The sequence below is a fragment of the Homo sapiens genome, chromosome 9, assembly GCF_000001405.40.
Source record: "Homo sapiens chromosome 9, GRCh38.p14 Primary Assembly".
Taxonomy (NCBI): domain Eukaryota; kingdom Metazoa; phylum Chordata; class Mammalia; order Primates; family Hominidae; genus Homo; species Homo sapiens.
In genome coordinates, this window is record NC_000009.12 from 34,162,986 (window position 1) to 34,177,573 (window position 14,588).

General features: G+C 46.7%; 2 annotated features.

The window, feature by feature from the left end:
• Positions 6,084-6,726: an enhancer, noted in NCBI's record as "H3K27ac-H3K4me1 hESC enhancer chr9:34169067-34169709 (GRCh37/hg19 assembly coordinates)". NCBI's record gives its function as "activates a minimal SCP1, AML or CMV promoter by ChIP-STARR-seq in naive H9 embryonic stem cells {active_cell/tissue: H9 hESC(naive)}" and the evidence as "EXISTENCE:reporter gene assay evidence [ECO:0000049][PMID:30033119]".
• Positions 13,126-13,420: a silencer, noted in NCBI's record as "tiled region #9718; HepG2 Repressive non-DNase unmatched - State 23:Low". NCBI's record gives its function as "represses a minimal TATA promoter and a strong SV40 promoter by Sharpr-MPRA in HepG2 cells {active_cell/tissue: HepG2}" and the evidence as "EXISTENCE:reporter gene assay evidence [ECO:0000049][PMID:27701403]".

Below are 14,588 nucleotides of genomic sequence, written 5' to 3' on the forward strand. Positions count from 1 at the left end.
TCATTTATTTATTTATTTATTTATTTATTTATTTATTTATTTATTTATGAGACGGAGTCTCATTCTGTCGCCAGGCTGGAGTGCAGTGGCATGATCTCGGCTCATTGCAACCTCCGCCTCCCGGGTTCAAGCAATTCTCCTGCCTCAGCCTCCCAAGTAGCTGGGACTATAGACACGCACCACCACGTCTAGCTAATTTTTGTATTTTTAGTAGGCACTGGGCTTCACTGTGTTGGCCAGGATGGTCTCAATCTCCTGACCTCAGGTGATCCATCTGTCTCGGCCTCCCAGAGTGCTGGGATTACAGGTGTGAGCCACTGCTCCTGGCCAGGAGTCCATTTATTACAGGGTCTCCATATGCCCCAACTCTAAAGGGGGGATCCTGAGGATGCTTTGAGTCCCATACTGGTATCAATTTCATTTCAGACCTTGTGTCCAACAGTCCTTGTATTGCTTGGGTAATATTGCTCTTTCCACTGCGTTTGGGGGCCCAAACAAATACTAGTGGACCTTTTTGAGGAAGGACTGGAGGAATCATTGCCAAATACATTTATTAGAGTGTCACGGGGTCCTCCTTCTGGAGACCTGGCAGCTGCTTCAGTCACTGGGTTGCAGGTCTGAAGACTGGTTGTGATCCAGAAGCTGAGCAATGAATCATGACTCAGCTTCTTGATCATCTAGCCTGGGTTCCTTTTAATTGTCTAGGTTGAGTAATATCCTTGTTGGCCATCTCACCTTTAAGAACATCATGAACTATTAGCCATCTCCATCGCTCTCTGCAGGTCAGGACCCTCTGGCTGCTGTTCCAACTTCATAGATCATTGTAATTGCAACTATTTGCTTCTGATGGTTACATGCTGCTCTCTGGCCTCTATTATTTTAAGATACTATTATTCCCATTGCTATCAAGGTGCCCTGTTCTGAAACCACAAGGGCAGCTACCACTGAGCTTCTCAGTAATACCAATATCACTTTTCTTTTTTTGAGACAGGGGCTCACTCTGTCACCCAGGCTGGAGTGCAGTAGCATGATCTCGGCTTGCTGCAACCTCTGTCCACCCCTAGGCACAATTGATCCTCCCATCTTAGCTTCCTGAGTAGTTGAGACCACAAGCATGTACCACCATGCCTGGCTATTTTTTCTGTATTTTTAGTAGAGATGGGGTCTCACTGTATTGCTTAGGCTGGTCTTGAACTCCTGAGCTTAAGTGATCCACCCACCTTGGCCTCCCAAAGGGCTGAGATTACAGGTGTGAGCCACCGTGCCCAGCCCCTCCAATGTCACTTTCATCAGAGAATTCCTTGGAGCTCTTCTGTGGAAAAGTCATTTGGTAAGTTTCCTGGTTTTACACGGTATATCCATTCTAACTTTCCTCTTCTTTTAGTCTTTTGATCCCTACTTGCACCATCTCCTATAGCAGTTCTGATATTTCTTTTTTTTTTTTTTTTTCTGAGATGGAATTTTGCTGTTTTTGCCCAGGCTGGAGTGCAATGGTGCAATCTCGGCTCACTGCAACCTCCACCTCCCAGGTTCAAGCGATTCTCCTGCCTTAGCCTCCTGAGTAGCTGGGATTACAAGTGCCTGCCACCACGCCTGGCTAATTTTTGTATTTTTAGTAGAGATGGGGTTTCACCTTGTTGGCCAGGCTTGAACTCCTGACCTCAGGTGGTCCACCCGCCTCAGCCTCCGAAAGTGCTAGGATTATAGGCATGAGCCACTGTACCCGGCCTCTTTTTTTTTTTTTTTTTTTTTTTGAGACAGAGTCTCACTCTGTCACCCAGGCTGCAGTGCAGTGGTGTGATCTCGGCTTACTGCAACCTCACCCTCCTGGGTTCAAGCAATTCTCCTGCCTCAGCCTCCCAAGTAGCTGGGATTACAGGTGCAAGCCACTACTCCCCATTAATTTTTTGTTTGTTTGTTGTTGTTTGTTCGCTTGAGACAGAGTCTCACTCTTGTTGCCCAGGCTGGAGTGCAATGGCGTGATCTCGTCTCACAGCAAGCTCTGCCTCCTGGGTTGAGGTGATTCTCCTGCCTCAGCCTCCCCAGTAGCTGGGATTACAGGTATGCGCCACCTTGCCCAGATAATTTTTTTTGTATTTTTAGTAGAGACGAGGTTTCCCCATGTTGGCCAGGCTGGTCCCAAATTCCTGACCTCAGGTGATCCACCTACCTCAGCCTCCCAAAGCGCTGGGATAAGAGGCATAAGCCACCACGCTCGGTCTAATTTTTGTATTTTTATTTGTTTGTTTTTTTTTTTTTTTTTTTGAGACAGAGTTTCGCTCTGTCGCCTAGGCAGACAGAGTGCAGTGGCGCGATCTTGGCTCATTGCAAGCTCTGCTTCCCGGGTCCACGCCATTCTCCTGCCTCAGCCTCCCGAGTAGCTGGGACTACAGGCACCTGCCACGGCGCCCGGCTAATTTTCTGTATTTTTAGTAGAGGTGAGGTTTCACCGTGTCAGCCAGGATAGTCTCAATCTCCTGACCTCTTGATCCACCCACCTCGGCCTCCCAAAGTGCTGGGATTACAGGCGTGAGCCACCGCGCCCAGCCTAATTTTTGTATTTTTAGTAGAGATGGGGTTTCACCATGTTGGCCAGGCTGGTCTCAAACTCCTCAAGTGATCCACCCACCTTAGCTTCCCAAAGAGCTGGTATTAGAGGTATGAGCTGCCCGGTCTGATATTTCTATTTATTTATTACAGCCCATCACTTTCTCTAAGCTCATAAGACCCATCCTAAGAATATGTTAGCACTATTTCTCAGGGTCCTTGTCAGGGTGTTAAATCCTGTGTTCCAAGTTGATAACCTCTCCCTATTTTGGTTGAGAATTGGAATCCTCAGAATCCAGTCCCATGAATATTCTCCTGCCATTTGTCAGTACATATTGGTTATGTTCTACAGCTCCTTTAGCTATAGTCTCTTTCCTCCTTCGGCATGTCCTGGTCATTCATGTTGTTATTTAATTTTAGTTATTGGTCCAATGATTAGGTTGGGACTTTAAAGTAGATCCAGATGGCAAGGCACCTATCTTTTTTTTTTTTTTTTTTTTTTTGAGACAGGATCTTGCTCTGTCACCCAGGCTGGAGTGCAGTGGCGCAATTTCGGCTCACTACAGCCTCGACCTCCCATGTTCAAGTGATTATCCGGCTTCTGCCTCCTGAGTAGCTGGGATTACAGGTGCACACCACCATGCCCAGGTAAACAGGCACCTGTCTTGTAAGGCAGGTATTTTTACATTGTCTTCAAGCAAGGAGGAATGCTAAGCTTTAACAAAGAGGAATGGGCAATGTGTTGGGTCCTTCTTGCGCTGCTCTAAAGAAATACCTGGCAGGGAGGAGGGAGAGCATCACGAAGAATAGCTAATGGATGCTGGGCTTAATACCTAGGTGATAGGATGATCTGTGCAGCAAACCACCACAGCACACGTTTATCTATGTAACAAACCTGCATATCCAGCGCATGTACCCCTGAACTTAAAAAAAAAAAAGAAATACCTGACACTGAATAATTTACAAGAAAAGATGTTTAGGCCGGGCATGGTGGCTCATGCCTGTAATCCCAGCACTTTGGGCGGCCGAGGTGGGTGGATCACGAGGTCAGGAGATCGAGACCATCCTGGCTAACATGGTGAAACCCCGCCTCTACTAAAAATACAAAAAATTAGCCGGGCCTGGTGGCGGGAGCCTGTAGTCCCAGCTACTTGGGAGGCTGAGGCAGGAGAATGGTGTGAACCCAGGAGGTGGAGCTTGCAGTGAATCGAGATTGCACCACTGCACTCCAGCCTGGGTGACAGAGCGAGACTCCATCTCAAAAAAAAAAAAAAAAAAAGATGTTTAATGGCTCATGGTTATGCAGGCTGTACAGGAAGCATAGCAGCATCTGTTCTGGGGAGGCCTCAGGAAGCTTCCAATCATGGCATAAGGCAAAGGGGGAGCAGGGACATCACATGGCTAGAATGGAAACAAGAGAAAGAGAAAGTGGCGGCGAGGTGCACACACTTTTAAATGACCAGCTCTCATGAGAACTCACTATCACGAAGACTGCACCCACCAAGCCATGAGGGATCCACCCTCATGATACAAACACCTCCCAGCAGGCCCCTCCTCCAGCATTGGGGATTACAATTCAACATGAGATTTGGGTGGGGACAAATATCTAAACTACATCCGGCCACTTGCGAAGGCCCAGAGGTACAGGAAAGACTGGAAGTTAATGATTGTTCAAGTATGTCGACCCAGATATTGCCATCCCATGTCTCCCATCTTCTTCTTTCTTTCTTTTGAGACAGGGTCCCACTCTGTCACCCATGCTGGAGTGCAGTGGAGTGATTGAGGCTCACTGCAGCCTTGACCTCCTGGGCTGAATCAGTCCTCCCACCTTAGTCTCCCAGGTAGCTGGAACCACACGTGCATGCCACCATGCCCTGGTAATTTTTTGTAAAGACAGGGTTTCACCATGTTGCTCAGGCTAGTCTTGAACTCTTGGGCTCAAGTGATTCTCCAGCTTTGGCCTCCCAAAGTGCTAGGATTACAGGCATGAGCCACCATGCCTGGCCTCCCATTTTTGCTCTTTCTCAGTCAGGACTCTAACCTTGGTAGCTAACCTTTCAGGGCTGAGAATTCAACCTCTCTAGAGCTCTGCAAATTTTATAATTATGTTTTAGGTCTGATCCTCAGGTTTTTCTGCCCTTTGGCTGTAGGAGATGATAGTATCTTTATATACTGCCAAGAAGGCCCTTCGACTTTCACACTTAATCTTCATTGTCTTTCTTCAAAGGATCTATTATCCCCAACAACAAACATCCTATTACTTCTCAAATGCCTAATACATGTGTTCCTCCACCCTCCCATGTATTCTTTCCTTGGGTAAAACATCTCCATTAACCACTGCTGAAATTTTTAACAACTGTATTACTATCACATGCTAGGGGCTAACAGTGTTTCACCTATCACTAGTGATGATATCCTCATTGTCAACCGACTGCTGAGTGACTCCCAAATTTCATTTTAGGGTTTACTTTCTTGGATCACTCCTGGTACCAATTATTGTAAATTGGGTTCCCCAGGAAGCAGAGAAGCAGAGATTTGAATCCAGAAAGTTTACTGAAGAGTGCTTTTAGGATCACCATCCTTGGGAGAGTGAAAGAAGCAAGGTTAGGTTGCAGGGCATTCACAAAAAAGTCTCAGTCAATTCCATGCAGAGCACTGGACCTAAGATAGCCCTGTAAAACTTTCCCTCACTGGGGCCAGGGTAACGGGGTCTTTATAACCCTGTACTAATCAGTCTTTGAATGTGGGTTACCATGGGCATGACTTTAAATGAGGCAGCTCTTCTCAGCCAAGGTTGTGTGGGGTGCTTTTTTTTTTTTTTTTTTTTGAGATGGAGTCTTGCTCTTTTGCCCAGGCCGGAGTGCAGTGGCGCGATCTCGGCTCACTGCAAGCTCTGCCTCCCGGGTTCAGCCATTCTCCTGCCTCAGCCTCCTGAGTAGCTGGGACTACAGGCGCCCGCCACTGCGCCCGGCTAATTTTTTGTAGTTTTAGTAGAGACGGGGTTTCACTGTGTTAGCCACGATGGTCTCGATCTCCTGACCTCGTGATCCACCTGCCTTGGCCTCCCAAAGTGCTGGGATTACAGGTGTGAGTCACTGTGCCGGGCCTTTTTTTTTTTTTTTTTTTTTTTTGAGACAGAGTTTCACTCTTGTTGCCCAGGCTGGAGTGCAATGGCGCAATCTTGCCTCACTGCAACCTCTGCCTTGCGGGTTCAAGCGATTCTCCTACCTCAGGCTCCCGAGTAGCTGGGATTACAGGCGCCCACCACCACGCCTGGCTAATTTTTCTGTATATTTTGTGGAGACGGGGTTTCACCATGTTGGCCATGCTGCTCTCCAGCTCCTGACCTCAGGTGATTCGCCCGCCTCAGCCTCCCAAAGTGCTGGGATTACAGGCATGAGCCACCGCGCCTGGCCTAATTTTGTATTTTTTTGTAGAGATGGGGTTTCTCCATTTTGGTCAGGCTGGTCTCAAACTCCCGACCTCAGGTGATCTGCCTGCCTCGGCCTCCCAAAGTGCTGGGATTACAGGTGCGAGCTACCGCGCACGGCAGGGTTGTGTGGGGTGCTTAACTGCCAGCTGACAGCCCTTAACATTCCCAGCAGCTGGGAGAGTAAGGGTTTCAGCAGTTCAGAAGAGGAGAGATCTGAGGAGCACACCACACACACCACAACATCCCTAAAATACACTTTCTTTTTTTTTCTCTTCCTTTTTTTTTTTGAGACAGAGTGTCACTCTGTTGCCCAGGTTAAAGTGCAGTAGTGTGATCCCAGCTCACTGCAGCCTCGACCTCCTGGGCTCAACCGATTCTCCCACCTCAGCTTCCCGAGTAGCTGGGACTACAGGTATGTGTAACCATGCCCGGCTAATTTTTTGTATTTTTGTAGAGTCGGGAATCTTACTATATTGCTCAGGCTGGTCTCGAACTCCTGTGTCAAGTAATCTGCCTGCCTTGGCTTCCCAAGGTGCTGGGATTACAGGTGTGAGCCACTGCACCTGGATCTAAAATACACTTTCTAGTGTCTGAATCATTTACAATGGGAAAGAATTCATGTGTTTTGTGTAAAAAAATGTTTTTAAGAAAACTCAAGTAAGGCAACATAATGAGACTTCATCTTCACAATTTTTTTTGTTTGTTTCGCTCTTGTTGCCCAGGCTGGAGTGCAATGGCGTGATCTCGGCTCACTGCAACCTCTGCCTCCTGGGTTCAGGCGATTCTCCTGCCTCGGCCTCCCCAGTAGCTGGGATTACAGGCATGTGCCACCACGCCCAGCTAATTTTGTATTTTTAGTAGAGATAGGGTTTCTCCACGTTGGTCAGGCTGGTCTCGAACTCCTGACATCAGGTGATCCACCCTACTCGGCCTTCCAAAGTGCTGGGATTACAGGCGTGAGCCACTGCGCCTGGCCAGAATTATTATTATCATTATTTTTTAATTAGCTGGATGTGGCAGCACATGTCTGTAGTTCCAGCTATTTGGGATGCTAAGGCAGGAGAATTGCTTAAGGGCAGGAGGTTAAGGCTGCAGTGAGCTGTGATCATGCCACTGCACTCCAGCCTGGGTGACAGAACACGACCCTATCTCAAAAAATAAATACAAATAAAAAGAGAAATCTAGAATGGTAACTCCAAACCTTGGATTCACACAGCAGCAAATCACACTTTGCTGACCTGGCACAGGATTCACTTGTCCATGTGCCCACACTTAACTGTGTATACTGACATTTCATTATTTTTGGGCAAAGGAGCCTTTTCAATCTAACACTATCTTGGAAATGGAAGAAAACATCTGGGATTCACTCCGATAGGAGAACCAAAGCAAAACTATAAACACCATCTGTCAATTTTTCCTTCCAAAGGAGCCTTTCCAAATTTCTGGGAGTTTCCTTTGCCAACTCCTTGTCACAGCAGCTCCAGAAGCAACTGAAGCCACTGAAGTTTCCCATGATGTTCTGGGCTAGGAAACTGGTGTCCTAGGGCTTCCTGCTGCACAGATGCACATCCTCAAAGGATGATTCTACCCTCCTTCCATAGGTGCCAGTCTCTTCCTCCTCAAGCAAGAAAGCCAAGTATGGATGTGTCCTTTATACTCTGTACAAAAGTGCCTGGCTCAGGGACCAGGGAGGACTGAAATCCAGCTGCACTCAGCTTGCCAAGCTGTATATCCTGGCACTGCAACCTCTTAGGGAGGGTGCCTTTTCCTATCATGCACAAAGGTACAGTTTAGCCTAGTGGCAGGCCTTGTCCCTGAGCTCACTGATATGATTTAACTCTATTGTAATTGTGTGTCTTACAAGTTTGTCTTCCTCCTGAGAGTTTTGATGGCTGAAGCCTGGTCTTGTTTAACCTTTGCTCCCACTGCAGCACAGAGCTTGGTGTATAGTAGACCTAAGTACATTAATTAGCTGAATGAATTACTATGCACAGAGGTCTTCTGGCCCACTGCCACAACAGTCTACTAACCCCATTTTAAAAAGCTTAATAAAATTATCTTTTACTATTTTACAAGATAACTTTTTGCTATGCTTCCTGCTGTGTTTTTTTTTTTTTTTCTCTAAATTTTCTCCTGCTTTTCGTATCTGGTTCTCCATCTCTCTTATTCTTTTTTTTTTTTTTTGAGTCTCGCTCTGTTGCCCAGGCTGGAGTGTAGTGGCATGATCTCAGCCCACTGCAACCTCTGTCTCTTGGGTTCAAGCAATTCTCCTGCCTCAGTCTCCCAAGTAGCTGGGACTACAGGCATGCACCACCACGCCCAGCTAATTTTTTTGTATTTTTAGTAGAGATGGGGTTTCACCATGTTGGCCAGGCTGGTCTCAAACTCCTGACCTCAGGTGATCCACCTATCTTGGCCTCCCAAAGTGCTAGGATTACAGGTGTGAGCCACCACACCTGGCCCCTTTCATTAAGTCTTTGAACTACCAAATTATTTTTATTTTTTTATTTTTTTTTGAGACAGAGTCTCGCTGTCGCCCAGGTTGGGATGAAGTGGCATGATCTTGGCTCACTGCAAGCTCTGCCTCCCGGGTTGGCACCATTCTCCTGCCTCAGCCTCCCAAGTAGCTGGGACTACAGGCACCCACCACCGCTCCTGGCTAATTTTTTGTATTTTTAGTAGAGACGGGGTTTCACTGTGTTAGCCAGGATGGTCTCGATCTCCTGACCTCGTGATCCTCCCACCTCAGCCTCCCAAAGTGCTGGGATTACAGGCGTGAGCCACTGCACCTAGCCTAGCAAATCACTTTTTAGAGGCTGGTCATTGCATCTTTGTTCTCGGACTCATTCTCTGTTCTTCTTCTGAAAACTACATTTCCCAGCTTCTTTGACAACCACATACTAGCTATATTCAGCCAATGGGAGGCACTGGAAGAAGACTGGAGGTGAGAGGAAGAAGAAGCCAGGGCAGTTCTTCCTCTTCCGGCTATGGGGCATTTCCCAGCAGTGGCTGCATCGCTTCTGTGTGGTTTCCACTTCCCCTTCTTCTTCTCCTTTTTTTTTTTTTTTTTTTTTTTGAGACAGAGTGTCGCTCTGTCGCCCAGGCTGGAGTGCAGCAGCATGATCTCAGCTTACTGCAACTTTCATCTCCCGGGTTCAAGCTTTTCTCCTGTCTCAGCCTCCTGAGTAGCTGGGATTAGAGGTGCGCGCCACCAGGCCTGGCTAATTTTTTTTTTTTTTGTATTTTTGGTAGAGACGGGTTTTGGCCAAGCTGGTCTCGAACTCCTGACCTCAAGTGATCTGCCCACCTTGGCCTCCCAAAGTCGGCCTCCCAAAGTCAGCCTCCCAAAGTGCTGGAATTACAGGCGTGAGCCACTGCGCCTGGCCGCCCCTCCTTCTTTAGTCCCAAGTTCTGCTGCCCGCCCCACTCCAGCCAAATCCTATTTCCTCCACAGCCACAAATAATAATTTAGTGTGTGTCCTTTCAGTTTTTCATCCATGCTTATATATACACACACATATATATACACATATACACACACACATATATATACACACATATATACACATATATATACATACACACATATATAGATTATCTCTACACATTTTTTTTTTGCAAAAATAAATACCATATGCATTATTCTGCAACTTGCTTTTTACTCCACAATATACTGCTGTAACTGCGATAGTTACTGCCAAATTGCTCCACGAAAAGATTCTACCAATTTATACTGTTGTCAGCAGTGTATGAGAATGCTTATTTTGCTAGACACGGTGGCTCATGCCTAATCCCAGCACTTTGGGAGGTCAAGGTGGGAGGATTGCTTGAGACCAGGAGCTTGAGACCAGCCTGTGCACCATAGAGAGACTGTTTCTTTAAAAAAAAAAAAAAAAAAGTTTATCCATCTATGCACCATTGGATACACTTTATTTATTTATTTTTTTGAGACAAAGTCTTGCTCTGTCGCCCAGGCTGGAGTGCAGTGGTGCTATCTTGGCTCACTGCAACCTCTGCCTCCTGGGTTCAAGCGATTCTCCTGCCTCAGCCTCCCAAATGCTGGGATTACAGGTGCACACCACTACGCCGGCTAATTTTTGTATTTTTAGTAGACACAGGATTTTGCCATGTTGGCCAGGCTGATCTCGAACTCCCAACCTCAGGTGGTCCACCCGCCTTGGCCTCCCAAAGTGCTGGGATTACAGGTGTGAGCCACCATGCCCGGCTGGATATACTTTTTTATTAAATAATTTTTTTTAATCAATTAAGATGGGGGGCTGAGCATGGTAGCTCGTGCATGGAATTCCAGCACTTTGGGAGGCCACGGCAGCAGGATCACTTGGGGCCAAGAGTTTGAGACCAGCCTGGTCAATATAGCGAGATCCTGACTCTACAAAAAAGAAAAAAAAATGGCTGGGTGCCATGGCTCATGCCCATAGTCTTAGCACTTTGGTAAGCCGAGGCTGGCAGATTGCTTGAGCTCAGGAGTTTGAGACCAGCCTGGGCAACATGGTGAAACCCTGTCTCTACCAAAAATACACAAAATTGGTCAGGCATGGTGGTATGTGCTTGTGGTCCCAGCTACTCTGGAGATGGAGGTGGGAGGATCTCTTGAGCCTGGGAGGCAGAGGTTGCAGTGAGCTGAGATCACGCCACTGCACTCCAGCCTGGGTGACAGAAGACTGAAACCCTGTCTCAAAAAAAAAAAAAAAAACCACAAGCTGGGTGCGCTGGCTCATACCTATAATCTCAGCACTTCAGGAGGGGTGGGAGGTGGATCACTTGAGGCCAGGAGTTCAAGACCAGCCTAGCCAACATGGAGAAATCCCATCTCTACCAAAAATATAAAAAAAAAGCGGTGCATGGTGGCACATGCCTGTAATCCCAGCTACTTGGAAGCCTGAGGCAGGGGAATCATTTGAACCCGGGAGGCAGAGGTTGCAGTGAGCCGAGATTGTGTCACTGCACTCCAGCCTGGATGACAGAGCGAGACTACATTTCAAAAGAAAACAACACAAACAAACAAAACTTAAATAAAATAAAATAAAATAAAAATTAGCCAGGTATGGTGGCATGTACCTGCCAGTCCCAGCTATCCGGGAGGCTGAGGCGGGACGATCCCTTAAGTCCAGAAGTTCGAAGCTGCAGTGATCTATGATTGCACCACTGCACTCCAGCCTGGGTGACAGAACAAGGCCTGTTGCCCAGGATGGACTCAAACTCCTGGCCTCACTCCCGCCTCAGCCTCCCAAAGTGCTGAGATTATAGGCATGAGCCACTGCATCAGACCCAGCATTGGATATACTTGATCTTTTCAGCTTTTGCCAATTTGTTAGGTAAAAATTAGAGCCTTGTTTCATTTTTAAACATTATCAGCCCGGTGCGGTGGCTCACGCCTGTAATCCCAGCACTTTAGGAGGCCGAGGTGGGGAGGATCATGAGGTCGGGAGTTTGAGACCAGCCTGAACAACATGGTGAAACCCCATCTCTACTAAAAATACAAAAACTAGCCGAATGTGGTGGTGCATGCCTGTAATCCCAGCTATTCAGGAGGCTGAGGCAGGAGAATCGCTTGAACCCAGGAGGCAGAGGTTGTAGTGAGCCGAGATTGTGCCTTTGCACTCCAGCCTGGGCGACAAAGTGAGACTCTGTCTCAAAAAAAAAAAAAAATTATCAGTGATATTGACCATTTTCTCATACGTTCACTAGCTATTTGTATTTCTTCTTTGGCTAATTGCCTCTTGCAAACTATACACACTTTTTTTTAATTGAATCATTCCATTTTTCACACTGATTTGTAAAATTATTTGTATACTGGGAAAACTAACTTTTTCTGTTATATAGGTTACAAATATTTTCTTCCAGTTTATCTTTTCACTTTGTGTTTGGGGTCTTTTGCCATCATCAAATCTGTCAACTATTTCCTTCATGGCTTCTGCATTTGGTGTTATGATTAGACAAGTTCTTTCCATCCCATAACTCAGAAAATATTCTTCTATATTCTCTTTTAATATTTTATTGTACCTTTTTGTGTTTGTGTATTCATCTGGTGGAATGGAAAATTATCTATATCATGGTCATCAGGATAATTGCATCTTTATATGATGGTCATCACATCGTTCTTAGAATTGAGAGAAGCCTCAGAGGTTACCCAGATATCTGAGTCCTTCGTTGTAACTATGAGTTTCTGGGGAAGGGCAAAAGGTTTCAATCTGATCTTCAAGGTTCTAAGGATTCATCCTAACTTTTCCCTTGATTTTCCCAGGAGAAAAGATGTCTTTGCCAAGGATGCCAGTGACTTTTTCTTACAGACTTAGAACGGTTAAACCCAAGCCAAGCCTCTTCCTTCCTGGTTTCTCCAAACTTACCACCTTCTGCTCCTCTACATATACCCTTTGCTCTACTTACTGATCCTGAACATTCCTGGAAATTTCTTGCATCCATGCCTTTGCCCAGACTACTTTAGGCACCCTTCATTCTATCTGGCCTTTAAGGCCTAACTTAAATGCTTCAATTTGCCATGAAATCTCCGAATTTCTCAAGTGTACCTGAATTCCCTCTCCTCTCTACTCCTCAGGCATGGATTGTGCTACTTAAAGGACTCAGTTTATTTTCTTTCTTTATTTTTTTTTTTTGAGACAGAGTGTTGCTCTGTCACCCAGGCTGGAGTGCAGTGGCGTGATCTCTGCTCACTGCAACCTCCGCCTCCCGGGTTCAAGCGATTCTCCTGCCTCAGCCTCCCAAGTAGCTGGGACTACAGGTGTGTGCTACCACACCTGGCTAACTTTTTGTATTTTTAGTAGAAACGGGTTTCACCGTGTTAGCCAGGATGGTCTCGATCTCCTGACCTCATGATACGCCTGCCTCAGCCTCCCAAAGTGCTGGGATTACAGGTGTGATCCACCACGCCCGGCCGGACTCAGTTTATTTTCTGTCAGGTGCCATCATTATCTGGACACTTATCTGCTTCCCTCACTGGGCTGCCTTGAGAGCATCTTTGCAGACTTGTGGTGCCTGGCACATGGTAGGACTTAATTAGTACTGGATGGCTAAATGAATGAAATATTGTAGAGGTGGTTGTCTGTCTTTTCTGTCTCTGTTCTTAGACATTGTAAATGCCTGGTGTATAAAGGGAGGGAGAAAGAAGACAGAAAGAGGGAGGGTGCAGGTTGGTGCCCCTTTTTTCTCTATTGCTGTTGGCAGGCCAGCAGGTATGCTGGCCACTGTCTACGTGCACTGAGAGGGAAAGATACAGGGTAGGGGAAACAGAGGACTGGCATCCTATTCAGCCTCTTCTGGCCCCAGGTGAGTCAACACTGGGATTCACACCTAGAAACTGACAAGTATGAATCACTCCTAGGAAGGTTAAGAGGTATTTGTTTTTCTAGGTAAATGCCTCCACTTCTTTTCCATTTCTTTTTTTTTTTTTTTTTTTTTTGAATGGAGTTTTGCTCTCGTTGCCCAGGCTGGAGTGCAATGGTGTGATCTCAGCTAACCGCAATCTCTGCCTCCTGGGCTCAAGCAATTCTCCTGCCTCAGCCTCCCAAGTAGCTGGGATTACAGGCATTTGCCACCACACCTAGCTAATTTTTTTTGTATTTTTAGTAGAGACGGGGTTTCTCCATGCTGGTCAGGCTGGTCTTGAACTCCTGACCTCATGTGATCTGCCCGCCTCGGCCTCCCAAAGTGCTGGGATTACAGGCATGAGCCACTGTGCCTGGCCTTTTTTTTTTTTCTGAGACAGAGTGTTGCTCTGTCACCTAGGCTGGAGTGACGTGGCGCAACCTCACCTCACTGCAACCTCCACCTCCCAGGTTCAAGTGATTCTTCTGCCTCAGCCTCTTGAATAGCTAGGATTACAGCTGCCACCATCACGCCCAGCTAATTTTTGAATTTTTAGTAGAGATGGGGTTTCACCATGTTGGCCAGGCTGCTCTCGAACTCCTCACCTCAGGTTATCCACCTGCCTTGGCCTCCCAAAGTCCTGGGATTATAGGCATGAGCCACTGCGCCCAGACTTTTTTTTTTTTTTTTTTTTTTGAGACAGGGTCTGGCTTTGTCACCCAGGCTGGAGTGCAGTGGCTTGATCTCGCTCACTGTAACCTCCTCCTCTTGGGTTCAAGCGATTCTCATGCCTCAGCCTCCCACATAGCTGGGATTACAGGCGCCCACCTAGCTAATTTTTATTTTGTATTTTTAGTAGAGATGGGGTTTCACCATGTTGGGTAGGCTGGTCTTAAACTCCTGACCTCAGATGATCTGCCTGCCTCAGCCTCCCAGAGTTCTGGGATTACAGGCGTGAGCCACCACACCCGACCTTGTTTTTTTTTTTTTTTTTTTTTTGAGACAGAGTCTTGCTCTGTTGCCCAGGCTAGAGTGCAATGGCATGATCATTGCTCACAGCAGCCTTAACCTCCCAGGCTGAGGCCATTTTCTCACCTCAGCCTCCTGACTAGCTGGGACCACAGATGTGTACAACCATGTCTGGCTAATTTTTTACAATTTTATTTTATTTTTAGACAGGGTCTCATTTGCAGAACCCAATAGCTGGGACTACAGTCGTGTACCACCATGCCCAACTGTTTTTTGTTGTTGTTAGAGATGAAGA